Source organism: Homo sapiens, chromosome 7 (assembly GCF_000001405.40).
Source record: "Homo sapiens chromosome 7, GRCh38.p14 Primary Assembly".
NCBI classification, from domain to species: domain Eukaryota; kingdom Metazoa; phylum Chordata; class Mammalia; order Primates; family Hominidae; genus Homo; species Homo sapiens.
Window position 1 is genome coordinate 11,490,390 of NC_000007.14, and position 26,679 is coordinate 11,517,068.

The following is a 26,679-nucleotide window of genomic DNA, read 5'->3' on the forward strand; positions in this document are numbered from 1 at the left end:
AATTTTATTAAAACATCTATGACTTCCCTTCCTAATAACTCTGGTTAAGGATTTCACTTGAGGTTAGACAGACAAAAAGGGTATGTGTGTACTCTGTAAGCTTTGACATGAGACTCATGACTTCTGCTCCTGTTTAATGCCAACTATCATGGTACATGTGCATGTTCTCTGAGTGTACAGTATGGGTATAATCAAATGCACATGTATTTTGAATAAAGGTGTGAAAAATGTTTTATTCCTTTTTTCCCCAGTTATTCATTTTATATCTTCATTCTTGAATAGTTCTTTCTTGTGATTTCATTCCTCTCAGTTGTTTTTAAGCTTGAAATGACCTAAAATGTTAATTTTCATGTGCTCCACATTTAGTTTTTTAGTAACTAGTTCAAATTCTGGCTTCCCACTTACCACTAATGTGCCCTTGAGCAGATAATTTAACTATTCTAAAACTTACTTAATCTTAATGGAAGCTAATAATAGTACTTATGGTATTCCCATTCATATTAACTGAGAAAAATTTTTATTGGCACATAAAGTTTGTTCAATATGACAGCAGCATGAGGCTATTTTCATCACTCATCTGTGGAGGAGTTGACCATCCCTCCCATACTACTACAGAAATGGATCTGCTCCATTCTAAACCCCACTGTGTTCCAATTCACTTGATTTGATGTACTTAATCATTTTTTCCGAATTTTGCTTATGTGTGGACTTGTGGAAAGTTACAGGTATATACATTGTACTAGACTCAGAGTATGATCTTCATCATTCAGTAATTTTGCATTTTTCCTTTTGTTAAAGTGCTAAGGTTGCGAGGAAATCCAGAAATCCTAGGAAAAGCTAACTTACGTAATTTTTGATTGTTAAATTTTATAGTCCATATTTTATAAATTATTTAGAGTTGGGTTCTAAGTATCTTTGGGCTTCAATTAAAAATTTGGACTGAAAGTTGTACTACACAATATTTAGCTCACAGTGATCAGTAGGAGTACTAAGACACATGGCATTCTATAAAGTTCCTTTAGTCCCCTTTCTCTCTGGACTACGTAATTAACATGAACTTTTCAAAACTGTAATTTAAACAGCTATACACAGCTACATTTGGTCATCAAATCTTCTCAGGCATCTTCTAGCAGGAAGAAAAACAAATGTTTTCTGGAAGTGCTATGATACAGTTACACTGAGCTATATTACAGTACTTAATGAGAGGAATTATGCTACTAAATAAGATAAATTATATATCATAGTCATTTGAAGAGTTAATCAATACAATCACCCAAATAGTCACATTCATCAGAATTTATTGGCTTAATTAATTTAAGAGCTTACATAAATAGATGGTTCCACATCAAGTGCTTCAACAGAATTCCGTTTACTCTGGGATGAAATACAGCTCCTGTGTTGATCTCTCCAGCTTTGCCCTCCATCACACTAAGGAAGCTTATGAGTTCTAATCTCAAGTTAGTCCCTCGTGGAGCCTTGCAACGCTCTTTTTGGGTGAGCCCTTTGAGTGGCTTTTTCTTTCTTTCTTTCTATTCTTAAGTCTTGGTTATCTCACACTTTTTTCTCTGAGGGGTCTTCACACTTCCAATCTGTCCTGCAAATTATCAGCCAAATAGCTTGCCAGCCACACTGCTGTGACTACATTACACCCTCTAATGATTCTCTGTGGTTCTCCTGATCAAGCATGCATTCACGTCTGTTGTGTTTTAGAGACATTCCGCCATCTGCCCCCACTTGACACACCTTGTCTAGCAAGTCCATTTTCTATCCTCTATTTGCAACCAGAAAAGGTGCAAAAGACCCCATGGACTGGAAGAGGATGACTCTGTGCCTTTATCAACTCTTAAGGACTAGGCTAAAAACCAACTTCAATTTGTAAATTTTCTTGCTTAAAACAATGATTACTGCCTCTCTTTCTGTACTCCTACTGCTTGGGATTTCTTTCAGATTCATAAAAATAAAAAGAAAGTATAGTTATACCACATATTCCACAGACAGTTATTACAAGATCACAGTGTGCAAACAAGTCTACTGGGTAATGGGGAAATTATGAAATAGCTTAAATATAACTATATTTGACTTTGGAATCTTGCCAGGATGAGTAAGACCAAATGACTTACACATTCTATATTTATCACACGAAAACAAGCACCAGTAAACACAGTGTAAAATTTTGACCCACTGATGGAGATTGTGGATTGATGAAGTGACTAGAGATGGCACAGTTCATAAAGGAAAACATTTCTAAGGCAGTGAAATCTGAACAATATTTGGAGAGAACTGAAGCTAAGTGCTTGGAAATGAGGAAGAGCAATATAAATGTAGGAGACTGGTCTATGTGGGAAGGCTTTGAAGCAGAATCTAATCCAAAGAATTAATCATCACCATTAAACTTTTCCAAAACTTCCCACTCTATCCTCTATGAACCCCATGTAAAAACACAAAAACTTTGAACCGTAAAGACTAGCCTAAGGCCTGCAGCTGAGTAAATCACAGTCTGACCCTTTAATCTTCATAGTTGTCTGCTAGGAGATCACAGGAAAAGAATCCTAGGGAGAATGAAATTTCAGCAATGGAGGAAGTGCTCTATAAGTTGGTCAGAAGTGGTTCTCTTCCACCTTGGGAACCACACATGTATTAGGAACTCCCAGCCCATTTCATCAACAGTTAGCATTTATGAAAAGTTGCTCAGGGCTGTCTCAGCGTTATTAACATTTGTAAGAATTTGTAATAAAACGTATATAGCTGATACAGAAAGCATCATTAGCTTGTTGATTGACAAAGAAAGTGTCTATTAATCAAACCAAATCAAATCATGGTTAATGAATATTTGCAGAAAACAAGGCAGAGAGTTCTATAAAATGTTCATATCTGACCTGATAAAAAGTTGGTGAGTTTGGGATGGGCCAAGATGGAACTCTGGAACCAGTCAACATACGTTGAAATTAAAGAACAACGAGAACAAAGATCTTGAAAAAGATAGAAGAATGAGTCTAGCTCACACGTTTCAAACCTGATGGGAAGTTTCTAAAAATCCTATCTTCAGTTCCATCAGAGAACTACTCAATTGGATGGACAGGGGAAGATATTAGGGTTATTCATTTTTAAAGGTCCCTAATGCTTCTGATGCATTAGTATGTGGGAACTACTATGTCTGCTCATTCCTGTTTAAAATCCAATATGTAAGAAGAAAGAGTTGATGGTTCAAACCAAATTCTCCTAGTCATATTTGTAACTTGAATTTACATATAGTTATTTAATTGAAGGTAAACAATATTGGCCCATTGTACCATTTTAATTTGTTTCAAAGAGTTCTTTTTTGTTGTTCATCTCATGCTCTGAGTTGAAGCAATTATTTAAGTATTTTAAAGAGCCATAAGTAAACCAGACTGGACTCTTTTTTGTTTCATGGTCATCTATGAACAGAGAAGGTAATGAAGTTTTATGGTAGTGGTTGCCTAATAGAAACCTTTGGGGGTAATATCATCTAGTTTATAAGGTATTTTGACGAGTGTTAGGAGGACCATTTAATTATGATTCAATAAAATACAATTACTGCTCTGAAGAAACACACACACACATACACACAGATTTATACCAATACACCTTAGTATAATTTTACCTAAAATCTAAAAGCAGGTACAGATAAACGTTAGTGGGAATTTTGCTCCTATAGAAGGAAGAAAATAGTCTCTAAAATTGAAACATAATTACATTAGGCTACAGATATTATATACAATTTTCTGATGCCAATGTGGCACAAATAGTCAGTTGATGTGGGCTGGTCTGCATGGATAAAGACATATTGAGTTTTAAAAACAAAACCAACTGGTCATGGCCTCTCTTCTGATTGGTCAGTGCCTGTGCCTTTGTCACTAAATACTTTGTTAAATACTATAAATAAAACCTCTGGGTTTAATCAACCATTTCTTTATAAGTCCTCCACTCTTAATTCCCACTGTTTTTATTATAATTTCAAAACAAAACAAGGACCACAAAAATCCCCAAATGACAGGATTGAACTAGAGACTCAAACCTCTCCCCAATCTAAATCAGCCTATGACTAAAGTTCCAGGTAAAATAATCTAACATTCTTTTACAATGTTGCTTTACTGTTTAAAAATCTATTAGTTATACACTGATTATTACATCCAGGGATGAAAGGAAAGAAAATAATACTTATGAATAGCTACTGTGTTCAAGCATGATAATATGGCAATTCAAGTGGGAAGTAAAATCACATTTTATGGCATTTGAAATACAGAATCAAAAAGAATTCTTTTCTCCTTGCCCGAAGTTACCAGCTATTTAGTGACAAAGGCAGGATTTCTAGTCCATATTCCCAGACTCCAAAGTCTATGTTCTCTACATCATATGATAACTTCCAGGCACGAGCATTCTTATGGGCACTTCATAAAAGCTGGTAAAATAAATAAGCTTATGTTTTACCTAAACCTTTATAATACAGCATTTTCTAAAATATAGTTTTCTTTTTCTTTCAGAGATAATCTATGCTTAAAATATATTAATTCTATGTAGCATATTAAAATTTGGAAATAATCAAATGTATGAGTTTGGGAGATGAAACTGCAGTATGAAGAAGACTTTTCATAAATGGATGTTTAATATCTTTGGGGGTTTATTCTTCTGTGCAGTGTAATTGTTTTTGACATTTCAGTAATGCTTTTATGGGCAACTTGACCTTTGATGCATTTCTTTTTTCAAACTTGTAGCTTGCTAAATTGCCAGAAACATTATATTCACTAGAAAAGTTTAAAAAGTCTAGCTTACAAATCATTGCTCATTGAGATTAAATTTCATCTGATTTATAAATTAACCTTTATTTAAAAATACGTAACATCCTGTATGTATGTGCTGTTTTATATCATATTTTTATAATATGTGGCTCAGAACAAATGCAGTAAGTAGGTAAACTTTAGAAGACCCTTGGCCGTAGGTGCTTATGAGAAAAATGTTAAAAATATGATGGATAAGCAAATAAAGAAAGAAGAGAAATAAACAGCACTTATACGTGAATGCTTTTGCCAAAGATCAGCTAGGATACTAAGGAAATCATTACCACATTCACTTACAAACTGACACCTTTACCTCCCAATTCTGTAGTAGTTGGTGAACAGTTTCAAAGAAGATAACATAAAATCAATTTGAAGATTTTCTATTGCAAAACTGTATCTTCTAGCATCGTATGCCAAGATACTGCTCTCTAGAAGCCATTACAAAATCAAAACCACTATTGAACTAGAAAAATCTTAAAAAGGGTTTGGCTTATGTGCACATATTAAAGATGGAATAGAGGCTGCCTATGTGATCAAACAAGGAGAGAAGATGCAGGCAGAATGAGTTTCATAGATAATGTGCTGAGACTTTTGAAGTCTTTACCCTGAGGGTAAGAATAATAAGCTACTTTGCTTGAGTTTGGATGGACTTACAAAGCCGGGGGAAAATGGATGAGATGAAATACACAGAATCGAAATAACAGGGGATTTGGAGAGTTAAGATTTTTAGACAAGTTAAGTTACTGGGAAGTCAATGGAAAGAATACTAATAGAGACCCAAATGGGAGAATCTTGTCAGCTAGTCTTCTGGTATCATGAATTTTTAAAGTGATATATTCTACAGAATCAGAAGTATGCAGAAATGCTATGCTTATATGTGACTATAATGTTCCTGAATTCTAATCTGAAAGTCATGAACATAAAATTATAACATGGAACTAATAATTGCTGACTTTTATTGTGCAATGTTATGTGCCAGGCATTAAGTGTTTTACAGGATTTAGCGGATATAATTTTCCAACAACTCTATGAAGTAGACATGATTATTATACCCATATTACAGAGAAATAAAACCATGGAAGTTGATTAATGTCCCCAACTTTATACTATGCTGTCCCCTCTTAGTGTGAGAGACTAGCTTAATTTATTTGTCTTCTCTTGTGATTTTTCAATAATACACTATTGTATGTGGCAAGAAAATATGCGAGAGGTGATCCAGTTTAAGGATTAGGAAATGAGGCCCATAGTATGGAAAACACTTGCCCAAGGTTACACAAGTTGATGATGGAGTTGGAGATTCAGTGACCATATGACCTGGGGTTTAGGGCTGAGACATCCGTAATTTTTTTCATGTATGAGGCCAAATTATCGTTACAGAGATGATAGATATTCCTCCACAGCATTGTGCTCAACTATCTAATGCACTAAGGAACACAAATAAATTACACTTCTTCCAAGGGCCAGGAGCCTGTGGCTACGTAAGCTGCTTACACTAATTTTTAGAAGCAGGAGATATTATCTCACTTCTACAAGTAAGGAAACTATACAGATGAAATATAAAAGTGGCAAATTTCACTCAAACATGCAAAACATACAATGAAATGTTCTTGAAACAAAATAAACAAATGAAAACATTTAGCCAACCAAGGGTAGAACCAAAGTCAACAATCATTGAATCTAGGTAAATAAAGACACTGAGGCTAAAAAGTTGTGAGACTTTATTAGAGCAGACAATATAGATGTCATGAGTCCAGAAATTAAGCTATCCAACGTAAATCAATGTATTAGTCCATTGTCACATTACTATAAGGAGATACCCGAGATGGGGTAATTTATAAAGGAAAGAGGTTTAATTCACTTACAGTTCAGAATGGCTGGGGAGGCCTAAGGAAACTTACAATCATGGTGGAAGGGGAAGCAAACACATCCTTCTTCACATGGTGGCAGGAAGCAGAAGAATGAGAGCTGAGTAAAGGGGGAAGACCTTATAAAACCATCAGATCATATGAGAACTTACTCACTATAATGAGAATAGGATGAGGGAAACTGCCCCCATGATTCAATTACCTCTCAGCAGGTCCCTTTCACAATGTGTGGGGATTATGGGAACTACAATTTAAAATGAGATTTGGTTGAGGACACAGCCAAAACATATCAATCAATAAGATAATAGACATATGTTTGTTGAGATAGGCCAGATATTTTGGTGCATCTGTCAAATATAAAACTAATGGTATTGATAAAAATGTACCTCATTGCATTTCTTTAGGGGACATTAGGAATAAGGTAACTCCTGAGAAAGTAGTTCAAACAAAGCCAATTACCAATCCAATGTTGTTTCAAAGATATGGAAAACACTGGTCATTTTTTTGGTAAATACATTTTTTGGAGTATAATGTACTCTCAATAATCTTTAATACATAATAGAACTTTCCACTTGGAAAATGTTTATCTTAAGAATAACTGTTGACTAGTAGCCAAGATAGCCGACTAGAAGCAGCTAGTATGCTAAGAGCTGTGGCTCTCAGGGAGAGGAACAGAAGGGCAAGTAAATATAACACCTTGCACTGAAACTTCCAGGTACTTGCATTGGGATTAATCAAGGAAACAACCTGACTCACAGAGAGGGAAGAAAAACAAGACAAGACAATGGCTCACCTGGGAGCAACATGGAGCCAGGGGACCATCCCCTGCCCAGGGAAGTGATGAGTGAATAAGCGATCCCGGGAAACCATGCTTCCCCCACAGATCTTTGCAACCCTTGGGTTAGGAGATCTCTTTGAGAACCCACTCCACCTTCAGTCTTCAGTCCAATATAGCTATGTGGAGTCTTGGCAGAGCAGCCGCTCAGGCATGTGTGAAGACCCTGGAGCCTTAGATACTTGGGCCTTCTGGCAAAAGTAGCTGCAGCTCCATCAAAGTGGGAGCTTAGACTCCTGTACATACCCCTAGATAAGAGGCTGAAGCCATGGGGCTGATCCATAACAGCCCACAGACCCCACTTTCATGGCACCTCATATGATAAGACCCACTGGCTTGGAATCCCTAAGAAGGAGCTCTCAGAGAGAGGGGCGGGCTGCCATCTTTGCTGTTTGGGTGCCTTGGCCATTCTAGCCTTTAGGCTTTGGAGATGTGAAAGGGATCCACCAGCACAGTATAGCTGTGCTACCAAAATGTGGCCAGACTGCTGCTTTAAACAGGAGCTCAATCCTCTTCCTCCTCACTGGGTGGAACCTCCCAACTGGGACCTCCAGCCTCTCCTGCTTGAGCTCTCCAGTTGACAGAGATCTGAATTCCCCCTGGGACTGCACTCCCAGAGGGAAGGGTGGGCCACCATCTTTGCTGTTGGTGACTTAGCTGTTCCAGCCTTTGGCTATCTGAAGTGACCGGGGGCTGAAGTGGACTGGACCCCCAGCACAGCACAGCTGCTTTATCAAAACATGCCCAGACTGCTTTTTAAAGCAGGTCCTCATCCTATTCCTCCTCACTGGACAGGACCTCCCAACTAGGGTCTCCAGCCACTTCATGCAGATGCCTTTGGGTGGCAAAAATGTCCCTACTTCCCTGGGACAAAGCTCCTAGAGGGAGAGAGAGGATGCCATCTTTGCTGTTTCACAGTCTTCACTGGTGATACCTCCAGGTTCCAGAAAATCCGAGGTGACTAGGGACTGAAGCAGGCCCCAAGCATACAGCAGCAGCCCTATGGAAAAGTGGCCAGACTGTTACATGGGTTCCCGTTCTCATATCTCCTCACTGGGCAGGTCCTCCAAGCCTGGATCTTCAGCCACCTTGCACTGGAGTTATCAAGCCAGTACCAACTCAGCAACTCCTTTGACAGAGCCTCCAGGGGCAAATGAAAGCCTCTCTGCCACTGCCTCTGTAGTGGAACAGCCCTTGCCATCCTCAGACTAATGAAGGAGCAAAGACCCTAAGGGCCTTATCCACACCTCCAACAAGCTGCAGTTGACCCAAGGAGAGGCGGTCAGTCCAACTCCTGTGGGATCCACACACCCTTCATGGCTTGTCACCAGACAGGGAACTCCTGGCTTGGGCCCTCAGCACAAACCTTCCATCTTGGGCTGACTACACTGGGCATGACCTGCTGACTGCACTGAGTTGACATGCATCTCTCTGACTCTCAGGAGTCAAGCAAATGACTTGACCACAACCACTAATAAGATGTCTTCCTCTGTTGCCCCTAAGCTGAAGAAGAAATATAAACACCAAGATTTCCCTAGAGCTTCAGTGGGCAGCCTAGGAGTGCCAAGTTGTTCTTAACCAGACTCAACTGGCTGAAATGACAGAAATAGAATTCATAATACGGATAGGAACAAAGATACTGAGATTCAGGAGGATGGCAAACCCCAATCCAAGGAAAATGAGAATCACAGTAAAGCAATACAGGAGCTGAAGGACAGCATAGCCAGTACAAAAAAGAATCTAATGGGTCAGACAGAGCTGAATAACACAAGAATGTCACAATGCAATCACAAGTATTAACAGCAGAATAAAACAAGCTGAGAAAAGAATCTCAGAACTTGAAGACTGGTTCTGTGAAATAAGACAGTCAGACAAAAATAAAGAACAACTATTAAAAAGGGATAATCAAAACATCTGCGAAGTATGGGATTATGTGAAGAGGCCAAATCTATGAATCAGTGGCATTCCTGAAAGGGAGGGGGAGAAAACAAACAACTTGGAAAATATATTTCAGGATATTGTCAATGAAAATTTCCCCAACCTTGCTAGAGAGGCCAACAGTCAAATTCAGGAAATTAAGAGAACTCCTGCAAGATTCTTCACAAGAAGATCATCCATCCCCTAGATACATAATCATCAGATTTTCCAAGGTTGAAATGAAAGAATGTTAAAGGCAGCTAAAGAGTAAGAGAAGGTCACCTACAAAGGAATCTCAGTCAGGCTAAGAATGGACCTCTCAGCTGAAACTCTATAAGCCAGAAGAGATTGGGGGCCTATATTCAACATTCTTAAAGAAAAGAAAAAAAAATCTTCAACTAACACTTTCAAATCTAGCCAAACTAAGCTTCCTAAGTGAAAGAGAAATAAGATGCTTTTCAGATAAGCAAATGTTGAGGGACTTCATTACCACACAAGAGATCTTGAAAGGAGCACTAAATATAGACAGGAAAGACCACTACCAGCTAATACAAAAACACACTTAAACACACAGACCAGGGTTACTATAAAGCAACCACACAAACAAGCCAACACAATAACCAGCTAACAGCACAATGATAGGGTCAAATCCATACATATTAATACTAACCTTGAATGTAAATGGGCTAAATAACCCCACTTACAAGGCACAGAGTGGCAAGCTGGATAAAAAAGCAAGACCCAAAGGTATGCTGTCTTCAAGAGGCCCATTTCAGATATAATGACACTTGTAGGCTCAAAATAAAGGGATGGAAAAAAATCTACCAAGCAAATGGAAAAAAGAAAAAAAGAAGGGGCCGGGTGCAGTGGCTCACATCTGTAATCCCAGCACTTTAGGGGGCCAAGGCGGGTGGATCACGAGGTAGGTTCAAGATCAGCCTGGCCAAGATGGTGAAAACCCATCTCTACTAAAAATACAACAAATTAGCCAGGCGTGGTGGTGGGTGCCTGTAATCCCAGCTACTTGGGAGGCTGAGGCAGAGAATTGCTTGAATCTGGGAGGCAAAGTTGCACTGAGCTGAGATCGCACCACTGCACTCCAGCCTGGGTGACAGAGTGAAACTCTGTCTCAAAAAAAGAAAGAAAAAAAAAAAGAAAAAAAGGAGTTGCAATCCTAATTTCAGACAAAACAGATTTCAAACCAACAAAGATAAAAAAAAAAGACAAGGAAGGGCATTATATAATGGTAAAGGTTTCAATTCAATGAGAAGACTTAGCTATCCTAAATATATATGCACTCAACACAGGAACACCCAGATTCATAAAGCAAGTTCCTAGAGACCTACAAAGAGACATAGACTCCCCACACAATAATAGTGGGAGACTTCAACACTCCACTGACAGTATTAGACAGATCATTGAGGCAGAATATCAATAAAGATATTCAGGACCTAAACTCAGCATTGGACCAAATGGACCTGATAGACTATACAGAAATCTCCACCCAAAAGCAACAGAATATACATTCTTCTCATTGCCACATGGCACATACTCTAAAATTGACCACATAATTGGACATAAAACAGTCCTCAACAAATGTAAAGGAACCAAAATCACACCAAACATACTCTTGGACCACAGCACAATAAAAATAGAAATCAACACAATGAAAATTGCTGAAACCCAGACAATTACATAGAAATTAAACAACATGCTCCTGAATGGCTTTTGGGTAAATACTGAAATTAAGGCATAAATCAAGAAGTTATTTGAAAATAATGAGAACAAAGATACAACATGCCAGAATCTCTGGGAAATAGCTAAGGCAGTGTTAAGAGGAAAATTCATAGCACTAAAATGCCCACATCAAAAAGTTAGGAAGAACTTAAATTAGCAATGTAACTTTACAACTGAAAGAATTAGAGAAGCAATAGCAAATAAACCCTAAAGCTAGGAGAAGATGAGAAATAACAAAAAATCAGAGCTGAACTGGAGGAAATTAAGACACAAAAAAACATTCAAAAGGTCAATGAATCCAGCAGTTTGTTTTTTTGAAAAAAGTAATAAAATAGTTTAGCCACTATCTAGACTAATAGAAGAGAGAAAAGCCAAATAAACCCAATTAGAAATGATGAAGGGAATGTTACCACTGATCCCACAGAAATATAAGTATGACCATCAGAAATGACTGCAAACAACCCTATGCACACAAACTCTAAAACCTAGAAGAGATGGATAAACTCCTGGACATACACACCCTCCCAAAACTGAACCAGGAAAAAAATTGATTCCTTGAAAAGACCAATAATGAGCTCTGAAATTAAATCAGTAATAAAGAACCTACTAAAAACAACAACAAAAAAGCCCAGGAGGACCTAAAAGATTCATAGGTGAATTCTACCAGATGTATAAAGAGCTGGTATCATTCCTACAGAAACTCTTCCAAAAGGATTAGGAGGAGGGACTTCTCCCTAACTCATTCTATGAGGCCAGCATCATCTTGACACCCAAACATGGCAGAGACACAACAACAACAAAAACTTCAGGCCAATATCCTTGATGAACATCGATGCAACTAACCTTAGCAAAATACTTGCAAACCAAATCCAGCAGCACGTCAAAAACTAAATCACCATTATCAAGTAGGCTTCATCCCCAGGATACAAGACTGGTTCAACATATGCAAATCAATAAATGTGATTCATCATATAAACAGAACTAAAGAAAAAAACCCACGATTATCTCAATAGATTCAGAAAAGTCTTTTGATAAAATTCAACATCCCTTCATCTTAAAAACTCTCAATAATCTAGGTACAAAACCAATGTACAAAAATCACCAGCATTCCTATACACCATCAACAACCAAACTGAGAACCAAATCAGAAAGGGAATCCCATTCACAATTGCCACACACACACAAAATACCTAGGAATACAGCCAACTAGAATGGTGGAAGATCTCTAAAATAATTACAAAACACTGCTCAATGAAATCAGGGAAGACACAAACAAATGGAAAAACATGCCATGCTGATGGATAGAAAGAATCAGTATCATTAAAATGGCTATACTGCCCAAAGCAATTTACAGATTCAATGTTATTCCTATCAATCCATCAATAACATTCTTGACATTCTTCATTCTTCTAGAAAAAATTATTTTAAAATTTATATGAAACCAAAAGAGAGTCCAAATAGCCAAGGAGATCATAAGCAAAAAGAAGAAAGCTGAGGGCATCACATTCCCCTCTTCAAACTATACTACAAGGCTTCAGTGACCAAAACAGCATGGTACTGATTCCAAAACAGGCACATAGACCAATGGAACAGAATAGAGAGCCCAGAAATAAGGTTGCACATCTACGACCATCTGATCTTTGACAAGGCTGACAAAAACAAGCAATGGGGAAAAGACTTCCTGTTCAATAAATGGTGCTGCAATAACTGGCTAGCCATATGCAGAAGATTGAAGCTGGACCCCTTTCTTATGCCATATACAAAAATCAACTCAACATGGATAAAGACTTAAATGTAAAACCCAAAACTATAAAAACCCTGGAAGACAACCTAGGCAATACCATCTTAGACACAGGAATGGGCAAAGATTTCATGACAATGATGTCAATTTTCACAACAAAAGCAAACATTGACAAATGGGATCTAATTAAACTTAAGAGCTTCTGCAAAGAAAAATAAACTATCAGCAGAGTAAACAAAAAACCTACAGAATAGGAGAAAGTATTTGCAAACTATGCATCTGACAAAGATCTAAAATCCAGCATCTATAACGAACTTAAACAAATTTACACAAGAAAAACAAACGACTCCATTAAAAAGTGGGCAAAGGACATGAACAGACACTTCTCAAAAGAAGACATACATGTGTCCAACAAGCATATGCAAAAAAGCTCAATATCACTGATCATTAGAGAAATGCAAATCAAAGCCACAGCGAGGTACCATCTTACACCAGTCAGAATGACTATTATTAAAAAGTTAAAAAATAACAGATGCTGGCAAGGTTGCAGAGAAAAGGAAATGCTTATACATTGTTGGTAGAAGCGTAAATTAGTTCAACCATTGTGGAAAACAGTATGGTGGTTCCTCAAAGAGCTAAAAGCAGAAGTACCATTTGGTCCAGCAATCCCATTACTGAGTATACACACTGAGGGATATAAAGCATTCTGCCACAGAGATACATGCATGCAAATGTTCACTGCAGCACTTTTCACAATAGCAAAGCCATGGAATCAACATAAATTCCCATCAATGACAGACTGGATAAAGAAAATGTGATACATATATACCATGGAATATTATGCAGCCATAAAAAAGAACGAGATCATGTCTCTTGTGGGAACACGGATGGAGCTGGAGGATATCATCCTCAGAAAGCTAATGCAGGAACAGAAAATCAAATACCACATGCTTTCACCTATAAGTGGGAGCTAAATTATGAGAACTTATGAAAACAAAGAAGGAAATAAGAGACACTGGCGTCCACTTGATGGGAAGGGTGGGAGGAAGGAGAGGAGCAGAAAAGTTAACTATGGGGTACTGAGCTTAATACCTGGGTAATGTAATATTATACTTTTGCACCAACCTAATAATGTGTACAACAAAAGTCTGTGACATGTTTGTCTATATAACAAATCATCACATGTAGGCCCAAACCTAAAATAAAAAAAATTTTAAAAAGAATAACTGTCCGCTATTATTCCTTTTTTAAAAAATGACACAAACACACCCTAGATATAATCTGGCCTACAAAGTGGGGTTTTCCCTGGAGCTATCTATATGAAGTAGTCCAGGATGTGGCAGGTAAGATAATAATCTACATATATTGTAACAAAATTGAATATGTTTGAGAGTTAAACATTCATCTTGGGCCAAATTTTTCATGATTGTGATAATCATTTAGCAAAATTTGAGATTCAACTCAGTAAATCAATTCCACCATCCATTTGCCTGATACATTTGCATGAACCATTTTCTTCTGGATGGTTTAAAAAGAAAGGACAACTAACTCCTTTTTTTTTATTGCATTTATTTGTAAATTTTAGTTGTATGTATTATTAAACTGGCAAAATTAAAAGGAGATTTGGAAATATATTTAAGGTAAACAATCCAAAACACTTTAATAAAAATAATAACTGCTAAGGTATGTAATATCTTTGTTGTAGGCATAAGGCAACTAGTTAGAGATGCAGGCATGTTTCAGAACTCCTGATTGTCAAACTTAACTTCAGCCATCATATTCTCATTTGGTTCGGTAGGAAGTTAAGCAGATTTAAATAAAAATATCATTGCTTAGAAAAAGTCTTGAATTCATGAAGCTTTAGAGGATGAAAAAACTAAATTATGTTTTGAAAGGAAAATCTGGATATTCTAAATACTAGAAGACTAAAATTCTTTGATAAAAGAAAATAATAGTTTAAGTTTTGTAGCTAATTTCATTAATCGTCCAAATTCTTCTCTCAAAATGTTTTACAAGGGCTACTAACTTCAAATATCCATTTCAAATATTTGATATGAGAGTCTAATTTCCTTTTCCTTTTCAACTTAAAATACTGATGATTTCAGTACTTAAAAGAACCCTCAGCTACACCTTAGGTTTCCGAAAACTAACACTACCAGTGTAAAGTTTTTTTTTTTTTTAATTTAAAAGATTTGAACAGAAGACAAAAGAAAGAAGGCAAAGTAATTCTCATACTTGAATTGGGAATAGAAACCCTGCCAAAGATAGAAACATCTAAATTAAAAGGAGGCATTTTGAATATAACTTAAGGCAAACAATTAAAATACACTAAAGAATTCACATAATAAAAGGCTTGGATGGGTTCAGGAAGAATAATCCTTTCCATTAGAATGAAAAATAAGAATGCATACAACATTGGGTGTTCAGTCAATAGGGTTATGGCAAATTTTACATGCTGAGAAGTGAGGTTAGGATTCAGAATAACTGGGATATGAAGCATGCCAAACGACTGCCATCTGTGCAGTTACCATATTACTAGGACAAGCACTGTGGCTTGAGATTTATATAACTATGGGGCTCATTATCTAGTTTCTTCTTCTCGTAGTGACTTGACATGAGAAGAATCTGGACTTGCGGGATGGGGAATCTAAGAGTGCTTTGCAAAGAGCACCTGTTTTTGAAAGCACTTCTGAAGCAAATTAAATACAATTTTATGAGAACAAGATAGACAAAAAGAGGTAAAGAGATTGTCCAGAGGTGGCACAGTCCCTGAAGCAGGAATGAAGCAGCATCCTCAGTACATGCAGATAATTTAACTTCAAAAGGGGGCCCTCCCCAGTAGCTGGGACCACAGGCATGTGACACCACGCCTGGCTAATTTTTTGTATTTTTAGCAGAGATGGGGTTTCGCTGTGTTAGCCATGATGGTTTCGATCTCCTGACCTTGTAATCCACCTGCCTCAACCTCCTAAAATGCTGGGATTTCAGGAGTGAGCCGCGCTGGGCCTGATGTTTTGATTTTTAAAGTTTTTCTGTTAATTACATATTTTCTTCACCAAAGAGAATGCATTTCACCACTAATTATAAGAACTTAACTTGCTTTCTGTGGCCATTATTAGTACTACATTCATTTACATCCTGATGGTTCCATGACTGATGTGGTCACTTTCCAGATTCTGCCTTCTATGTTTGCTCTCTCACAGTATGTTCTCCACTCAGCAGTCAGAATAAGCCTTTTAAAACATAGTTCAGATCACAACATTCTCTGTGGAAACCTTCCAGTGGCTTTCCATTAACATGGAATTATTTCCCAACTTCTAAAAGGCCCTGTATGATCTGCTTCTTGGCTCCCTCTACTCTTCTCATTCTCCCTTATTCCATTTCAGCTTTACTGGCCTTTCAATGTTCCTGGAACACTTTAAGCATTCTACTGTCTCTGTTCTCCCCTCCAGTTCTAACACTTTCCTCTCTGATATTTGCTTATTCTGGGAATTCTGATGTTCAGCCTGCTCCCTGATATCAAGTATCCATTTAACTTCTATCTTCCTAGAGAGTCTTTGCATGACCCACCTGTCACTCTCCATCACCGTACCCCTTTGTTTTTTTCCCCAATACTTTTCACAATTTTGATATGTTGATCATGAACTGTATCTTTTTGTGTGTTTATTTTCTGTCTCTTCTCCCTACAATGTAAGTTCTACCAGGTCAGGGGTACTGTCTGTTCATCTCTCATTGCTGTAGGCCTAGTGATTTTTAAAAGTTCCTGACACACAGAACATTCTTATTAAATGTTTTCTGAGTAAATAAGTGAGCATGATACCTAAAGACATTAAGCAGTCACAGTGAGGTACTATGGACCTTGAAGCAAGCCAGGATTTCTAAAGAGCAATTTAGAAGAGCTCGAAAGTAATATGAAGAACAAGTCAAAGACTGCATTGTATTAGGGATACTCACTCTACATTTTAATTTTTCAACTTAAATTTTTTTCTGGGGTGAGTTCATGTTAAATTTCTAATATAAAGCCTTATATTATGTAGATATCACTGCAATTCTCACCAATACAAAGATAACTCAAAAGAAAGTGCTTTAGTGACTTTATATATTGTTATAACAATATCTAAAATGGCAATTTGGGAAATTTGTATGCCCGAATACTATGCTGAATCCATAAATTCATGATTCTGCTTTATTCTTCAAGTGTTTATACTGACTTGTGTATGAAATAAGTAACAAAAATATTATCCTTATTTAGGATTATTTAATCCAGGTATGATTTTTATTGCTCTACAAGTTCACTGACTCTTCCATGAAATAATGTGTGTTTTTTTTTTTTTAATTTTTAACTGCTGGAGTTGTTACATACAAATAGATAATACTGCTAATAATACTAATTTGGCATATTTTTATAATGAGTAAATATTCTGAAAGTATTCATGTTTTCTGTTTATATATACAGTGGAAGAAATATTTGGTTTTTATTGTAAGGCTTTAATGTATTATTCACAACTTATGGATGGGAAAAATATTTTAAAACCATACATCTGATAAAAGCTTAACATGTAAAATATAAGGAACTCTTATGTATTAATCTGTGCTCACACTGCTGTAAAGGTACTACCTGAGACTGGCTAATTTACAAAGGAAAGAGGTTTAATTGACTCACAGTTCTGCATGGCAAGGGAGGCCTCAGGAAACTTAAAATCATGGCAGAAGGTAAAGTGTAAGCAAGGCATGTGTTACATGGTGGCAGGAGAGAGAGAGAGAGCAGGAAAAACTGCCATTTATAAAACCATCAGATCTTGTGAGGATTCACTCACTGTCATGAGAACTGAATGGGGTAAACCACCCTCATGATCCAATCACCTCCCACCAGGTCCCTCCCTGGACCCCTGGAGATTACAATTTGGATTACAATTCAAGAGGAGATTTGGGTGGAGACAAAGAACCAAAAAGAATAACTGCATTACAAAGTAGATTAAGGACTAGATAGACATTTCTTCAAAGAAGAAATACAGCGAGCCAACAAGTATTTGAAAAAATGTTCAGTGTCACTAATCATCAGGTAAATGCATATAAAACCACAATGAGATACCACTTCATACCTGTCAGAACAGCTATGATCAAAGGCAAAGGCAAAGCAAAAACAAAAGGTGAAAAAAAAAGACAACTCTTGGTGAGAATATGAAGAAATTAGAATCCTTGTACATTATTGATGAGAATACAAAATGGTGTAGCTGCTCTGAGAAATGATATGGCGGTTCACCAGAAAATTAAAAATACAACTACTACATGATGCTGTAACCCCATTTCTGGGTAATTATCCCAAAAAGCAGAAATCAGGATGTCAAAGAGATATTAGCACTACCATGTTCATTGAAGCATTATTCACAATTGTCAACATGTGGTAACAACCTAAGTGTCTATTTATGAATGGATAAAGAAAATGTGGTATATACTCATAGTGGAATAACATTCAGCCTTAAAAAAGCAGGAAATTCTGCAATATGCAATAACATGGATTAATCTTGAAGACATTATGCTAAGTGAAATAAGCCAGTCACAGCAATATGAATACTGCACGATTCCACTTATATGAGATATATAAAATAGTTAAATTCATAGAATCAAAGAGTAGAATGGTAGTTGCCAGGGGCTGTAGGAGAGGGAAATGAAGACTTACCAACAAATTGTTCAGTGAAGCCAGATTAATAAACTCTAGAGATCTTCTATATAACACTATACCAACAGCCAAGAATAATGTATTATATGCTTAAAAATATGAGGGTATATCTCATCATGTTAAGTATTCTTACCACAAAATAAAACTTTAAAAATATACACTTTACATATAATTTTTAAATCTTTAAATATTAACTTTTAAATTTAACTTTAAAGTTTAATGTTTTTAGCTTTCTATATTCCACTGGGAACAAAACAGTTTTCTTTGGGGCTTTGATATGGACATGTTTTGGTTTACGGCATGCATAGCAATTGGCAAGTACTAGAGCAGTGATGAACTGCAATCATTTCAAGACACAATAACTGACTTATATAATATAAAGTCAAAAATTAGACATTTCCTTTACACATTCTCATCCAACAAAATTGTTCCAGATTTAGCTACCATACAATCTGATTTCAAAGGTTAGAAATGTATTGAACCCAAATAACTTTTCAATGCTGCTTTTTCTATGTATGTAAATTAATATTTACAATTTACAGATGATCCATGTTAACAGTGCAGTTACAAATTTTAAAATTAAAAGATAAGGCCGGGCGCGGTGGCTCATGTCTGTAATCCCAGCACTTTGGGAGGCCGAGGCGGGTGGATCACGAGGTCAGGAGATCGAGACCACGGTGAAACCCCGTCTCTATTAAAAATACAAAAAAAATTAGCCGGGCGCAGTGGCGGGTGCCTGTAGTCCCAGCTACTCGGGAGGCTGAGGCAGGAGAATGGCATGAACCCGGGAGGCGGAGCTTGCAGTGAGCCGAGATCAGGCCACTGCACTCCAGCCTGGGCGACAGAGCCAGAGTCCGTCTCAAAAAAAAAAAAAAATAACATCTGAAGAATCAAAAATAAGTTAAATGACATATTAAGAATCTGAACATTGGAAGATAATCAGCATTACTGTTCTCACCACAAATAAATGAAAAGTGTTGGAGGTAATGGCTATGCTAATTACTCTGATTTGATCATTACATAATGTATACGTGTACCAAAATATCACACCATACCCATAAATACATACAATCCCACTACTGGGTATCTACCCAGAGGAAAAGAAGTCATTATTTGAAAAAGATACTTGCACATGCATGTTTACAGCAGCACAATTCACAATTGCAAAATAGTGGAACCAACCCAAATGCCGATCAGTCAACGACTGGATAAAGAAACTGTTTTAAATTCCTGGACACAAACACCCTCCCAAGACTAAACCAGGAAGAAGCTGAATCCCTGAATAGACCAACAACAGGCTCTGAAGTTGAGGCAATAATTAATAGCCTACCAACCAAAAAAAGTCCTGGACCAGACGGATTCACAGCCGAATTCTACCAGATGTACAAAGAGGAGCTGGTACTATTCCTTCTGAAACTATTCCAATCAACAGAAAAACAGGGAATCCTCCCTAACTCATTTTATGAGACCAGCATCATCCTGATACCAAAGCCTGGCAGACACACAGCAACAAAAGAGAATTTTAGACCAATATCACTGAGGAACATCGATGAAAAAATCCTCAATAAAATACTGGCAAACCGAATCCAGCAGCACATCAAAAAGCTTATCCACCACAATCAAGTTGGCTTCATCCCTGGGATGCAAGGCTGGTTCAACATACACGAATCAATAAATGTAATCCATCATATAAAAGGAACTAAAGACAAAAACCACATGATTATCTCAATAGATGCAAAAAAGGCCTTCGACAAAATTCAACAGCCCTTCATGCTAAAAACTCTCAACAAACTAGGTATTGATGGAACGTATCTCAAAATAATAAGAGCTATTTATGACAGACCCACAGCCAATATGGGTCTGTCATAAATGAATGGGCAAAAACTGGAAGCATTCCCTTTGAAAACTGGCACAAGACAGGGATGCCCTCTCTCACCTCTCCTGTTCAACACAGTGTTGGAAGTTCTGGCCAGGGCAATCAGGCAGGAGCAACAAATAAAGGGTATTCAATTAGGAAAAGAGGAAGTCAATTGTCCCTGTTTGCAGATGACATGATTGTATATTTAGAAAACCCCATCGTCTCAGCCCAAAATCTCCTTAAGTTGATAAGCAACTTCAGCAAAGTCTCAGGATACAAAATCAATGTGCAAAAATCACAAGCATTCCTATACGCCAATAACAGACAAGCAGAGAGCCAAATCATCAGTGGACTCCCATTCACAATTGCTTCAAAGAGAATAAAATACCTAGGAATCCAACTTACAAGGGATGTGAAGGACCTCTTCAAGGAGAACTACAAACCACTGCTCAACGAAATAAAAGAGGACACAAACAAATGGAAGAACATTCCATGCTCATGGATAGGAAGAATCCATATTGTGAAAATGGCCATATTGCCCAAAGTAATTTATAGATTCAATGCCATCCCCATCAAACTACCAATGACTTTCTTCACAGAATTGGGAAAAACTACTTTAAAGTTCATATGGAACCAAAAAACAGCCCGCATTGCTAAGTCAATCATAAGCCAAAAGAACAAAGCTGGAGGCATCACGCTACCTGACTTCAAACTATACCACAAGGCTACAGTAACCAAAACAGCATGGTACTGGTACCAAAACAGAGATATAGACCAATGGAACAGAACAGAGCCCTCAGAAATAATACCACACATCTACAACTATCTGATCTTTGACAAACCTGAGAAAAACAAGCAATGGGGAAAGGATTCCCTATTTAATAAATGGTGCTGGGAAAACTGGCTAGCCATATGTAGAAAGCTGAAACTGGATCCCTTCCTTAAACCTTATACAAAAATTAATTCAAGATGGATTAAAAACTTAAATGTTAGACCTAAAACCATAAAAACCCTAGAAGAAAACCTAGGCAATACCATTCAGGACATAGGCATGGGCAAGGACTTCATGACTAAAACACCAAAAGCAATGGCAACAAAAGCCAAAATTGACAAATGGGATCTAATTAAACTAAAGAGCTTCTGCACAGCAAAAGCAATTATTATCAGAGTGAACAGGCAACCTACAGAATGGGAGAAAATTTTTACCATCTACTCATCTGACAAAGGGCTAATATCCAGAATCTACAAAGAACTTGAACAAATTTAGAAGAAAAAATCAAACAACCCCATCAAAAAGTAGGCGAGGGATATGAACAGACACTTCTCAAAAGAAGACATTTATGTAGCCAAAAGACACAGAAAAAAATGCTCATCATCACTGGCCATCAGAGAAATGAAAATCAAAACCACAATGAGATACCACCTCACACAAGTTAGAATGGTGATCATTAAAAAGTCAGGAAGCAACAGGTGCTGGAGAGGATGTGGGGAAATAGGAACAATTTTACACTGTTGGTGGGAATGTAAAGTAGTTCAACCATTGTGGAAGTCAGTGTGGCGATTCCTCAAGGATCTAGAACTAGAAATACCATTTGACCCAGCCATTCCATTACTGAGTATATACCCAAAGGATTATAAATCATGCTGCTATAAAGACACATGCACACATATTTTTATTTTGGCACTATTCACAAGAGCAGACTTGGAACCAACCCAAATGTTCATCAATAATAGACTGGATTAAGAAACTGTGGCACATATACACCACAGAATACTATGCAGCCATAAAAAAAGATGAGTTCACGTCCTTTTTAGGGACATGGATGAAGCTGGAAACCTCTGAGCAAAGTTTCACAAGGACAGAAAACCAAACACCACATGTTCTCACTCATAGGTGGGAACTGAACAATGAGAACACTTGGTCACAGGGTGGGGAACATCACACACCCAGGCCTGTCATGGGGCGGGGGGAGGGGGGAGGGATAGCATTAGGAGATATACCTAATGTAAATGACGAGTTAAGGGGTGCAACATACCAACATGGCACATGTATACATACGTAACGAATCTGCACATTGTGCACATATACCCTAGAACTTAAAGTATAATAAAAAAGAAACTATGATATATATATATATATATGTAAAATACTACTCAGCCATAAAAAGAATGAATTAACAGCATTTGCCATGACCTGGATGAGATTGGAGACTATTATTCTGAGTGAAGTAACTCAGGCATGGAAAACCAAATGTTGTGTATTCTCACTAATAGGTGGGAGCTGAGCTATGAGGATGCAAAGCCATAAGAATGATACAATGGACTTTGGGGACTTGGGGGGAAGAGTGGGAGGGGTGCCAGGGATAAAAGACAACAAATGTGGTGCAGCATATACTGCTCGGGTGATGGTTGCAGCAGGATCTCACAAATCTCCACTAAAAAACTTACTCATGTAACCAAACACCACCTGTATCCCAATCACTTATGGAAAAATAGAATAAAATAATAAAAAATAAAAAATAGCAAACTTTTCAAGAATAAAAAAAACCAAAAAACAAATTAGTCAAATGGAAACATCCCAAATGTCCATCAACAAATGAATGAATAAACAAAGTGAGGAACACAAAATATGATTCAACCATAAAAAGGAATGAAGTACTGACTTGTACATGCCATCATATGGATGGACCTTGAAAACGTTATGGTAACTTAAAGAAGCCAGACACAACAGGTCACATATTATATCATTCTATTTATAGAAATACCCAGAACTGGTAAATCCATAAAAAATAGGAAACAGAGCAGTGGTTGCCATGGGATGAGAGGACAGGGAAATAGACAGTGAAATAGAATGTTTTCTCTTGAGGTGATGAAAATATTTTGGAACTAGATCAATGTAGTGGTTGCACAACATTATGGATATACTAAATGCCACTGTATTGTGCACTTTAAAATGGTTACTTTTATGTTACATAAATTTCACCTTAATTTAAAAAACAATTTGATGTGTTGATTATAGTTTATAAGGCTATTAGGATATGACAACCTGATACATTTTTACTCCCCTTCATCCCCCTCCCCCCTTACACTTTCCCTACACACAAGCACACACGCATAGGTGCACACACACACACACAAATGTACACATACCCTCTTGGCCCCAGACATCCTGCCTCCTGCCATTTCTCAAACATGCTACGTGTGCACCACCTCAATGTCTTTGCACTGGTTCTTGCCTCCATTTGGCATTCAATCCCCACAGTTGCCTTTAAGAGTTATTCACTCCTTTTCTTCTGTCCCTGCTTAAATATTCCACCTCCGAGAGGCTCTCCTTGACCACTCAAAATAAAATAATACACTCCCATCTCTTTCAGCCTGTGTTATTTTTCTTCATAACACTTATCATTGTTTTGACACATTATATTTTACTTGTTTACTCATTTATTGCCTATTTCTCTTCTACAATGTAAGGTCCATGAAGACAGATACATTATTTAAATCCTGTTATACCCTCTACATCTAAAACAGTGCCTGGCACAGAGTAGCCAGTCAGTTAATATTTGTTGAATAAATGAGTATTTTGTATATAAAGTTCCAAAACAAGTAAACATGATATGTTTAGACACACGTATATATGTGTCAAAGCCATCATGATAAACACAAAATTCATTTAGAGATTCACTCTGGAGAGGGCTTGAGGAGAAAAGAGAAGGAGGAGATCATGAGGGGTCTAGGAGTTTCAATTTTATGAGTAAATTTCTATATATTTTCTATTTATTTAATTGGATAACATTTTAAATAAGTGTTTTTTGTCTTTAAGATTTATGATATATAATATTGCATGCAATCTTTAACATGCATCAAATATTTCACAAAATTTTTCAACAGGTTAGCAGTATAATTATTCAGTAATATTAAACAATACTACGTGTGCTTACTTTATTAGTTGCTTAATTAAAAATAAATGACTGTACTTGCTTTCTCCTTTCAAGATTATTACTCTATTCTTTGGAAGAACATAGAAACATTTTACTATGACTGCACGAAAGCTCCAAAACTAAGAACCACTAATATTTGTAGGGGTGCTCCACCTTCAGTGACAGTGCCTTCTGTTACTCCATTTCTAACCTAAGAAGATGGATCTTTCTGTTCAGAAGATCACTTGTTGTTTCAAATTTATACTCATTTGAATCCGTCTTCTTTTGCTTTGAGTGGCATAAGTGATAAATGATTTTATGCAAATATTAACTTTAGAAATAAATTTTACATGTAACTAATGGGAAATCACATCTGAGCCCATCCTATCAAAAACAATTAAAATACATGCTTTCATCTAAAAATGGAAACATTTCACTATGATTTTAGTTCCTGTTCAAACAATAAAATTTATTCATTAGACTCTGTATCAACCTTTATTAGCCTCTCAGAATATTAATGTTACTTGCTAGGTCTGTGATACTTTAACTGAATATTCACAGCTTCAACAAGTTTGCTATGGAACAACTGTAAGAGATGATGATGGTGAATTTATCCCACTTTTCTACTTGTTATTTAACTCTGGCTTTTGACAATGTTCAACTTGACTTCAGACAGCAAACCTACCTTTTGGCTGAAAGAAGACTCTGTAAATGCACAAGGCAGATAATTTAATAATCCATAGTGCCATAAATAAGCACAATATCAACAATTAATTATGATCTATTTATATAATATAAAAATTTAACTCATCATCTACTGATTATGAAAATAACTCATTGCATCTAGCTAGATTTATTACCAAACACACAGCTATTGTCATAGAAAATTAAAGCTACAGAGATCTTTTATATATATATTTTTAGAGATAAATAAACCAAGCTTGTGATGGGGAGAAAAGACAGCCCATGTTTTATAGTAAGTGGCAGAACAAGACCTAGACTTCACATTTCATATTTTAGTAGTCTTTTTAGTACATCTATGGCAATGATTTACATACATAATATCTTGGTTGTATCTTACTATCCAGGGATATAAGCTCACAAGTTACTGAGAAGAAACAAGGAGTACTGCTTTGGCTAAGTGAGTTGTGACTTCATAACTGTGACTGCCCAAACTCAGTTAAAAGCCTGTCAAAATATTTCAAGTAGCACTATCAATCATGATTTAAAGTATACTGTGAATGAATAAATAGTGAATGAAACATGTTTAAACTATATAAATATGAGAACTTTTGGTTGTGATCATTTTTAAAAGTGATTTTTCCGTTTTCCTTTCTAAATTTGAGATTTCTAGGAGCTATTATTTGTGTGCATCTTTATTTTAAGTTGTATTCTGGCTGTAATAAATAAAACCTGTAATAAAGTATAATACTTATGTAGTTAATTTACTGAACTTACTGCAAATAGGTTCAAACCCAAAAGCTAAATTGCCCTCATAAAATACATACATAAATACTTAAAATGCACTTACAAAATCAGAAATTTTAAACTAATGCATTGACCCATTTTTGAAACAAGGCAGAATACAAGATAAGTATGGTTATTGATTAAGCTAATGTCCGTGTACCCGAGGAATGATTTGGTGAGAACTCATTCACGATTCTAGATGACCTACTACTGATCAGCTAGCTCTGCCAGAAGAAAAATTACTGAAGTGTACTTCATGGCTATATTATAGTGCCTCATCCCCATCTTCCTATAAAAGGAAGCTTCCAAAAGCCCATTGACCTTGCCTGTGTGCAGAGATGACCTTGTTTGTACAGCAGTCAATGCCAACATCCATCTTCAGTGTGAAATTCTGTCAATAACATTTTGGCTTTAAATTCTTATCTGTAAAGCTTTCTCTTTAAGAAAAAATTTGCTATTTGCTAACAATATAAATCTCCATAAAACTATCCTTTACAGAAAAGCTGAATTTAAATTGCATTTTAAAGGATTAAATATAAAATGTTATTTGAAAATAAGGATATATTTAATAATTTCATAGGAGGCACCAGGTGTATTAAATAATGAGCTTGAATTCAGGGATATGGCACCAATTGTCATGTAATGCCATTAGTATTTTTGGTAAGAAAAGGACATATACATCACTATATTGCCATCGCCTACCAGAATTGCAGTCATGGTCATGTAGACAGAGCCTTTACATGATGCAATGAAATAAAAGAGAAAATAATAGTATTTTTCCTATCAAAATAATTGTATATGTAATACGCATTGCCATCTGTCACATTCATAGGTCCAATTGTTTAAGCAAGAGAACATATAAATAC

General features: G+C 36.6%; 1 protein-coding gene across 6 annotated transcripts in view, besides 2 other annotated features; it reads right to left on the reverse strand.

Annotated features, from left to right (window-relative positions):
• THSD7A (thrombospondin type 1 domain containing 7A) overlaps positions 1-26,679 on the reverse strand; it is a 461,834-nt gene that overhangs the window by 120,025 nt on the left and 315,130 nt on the right. The gene's annotated exons all lie outside the window — the stretch shown is intronic.
• Positions 7,690-8,190: an enhancer, noted in NCBI's record as "H3K27ac hESC enhancer chr7:11537706-11538206 (GRCh37/hg19 assembly coordinates)". NCBI's record gives its function as "activates a minimal SCP1, AML or CMV promoter by ChIP-STARR-seq in naive H9 embryonic stem cells {active_cell/tissue: H9 hESC(naive)}" and the evidence as "EXISTENCE:reporter gene assay evidence [ECO:0000049][PMID:30033119]".
• Positions 8,191-8,691: an enhancer, noted in NCBI's record as "H3K27ac hESC enhancer chr7:11538207-11538707 (GRCh37/hg19 assembly coordinates)". NCBI's record gives its function as "activates a minimal SCP1, AML or CMV promoter by ChIP-STARR-seq in naive H9 embryonic stem cells {active_cell/tissue: H9 hESC(naive)}" and the evidence as "EXISTENCE:reporter gene assay evidence [ECO:0000049][PMID:30033119]".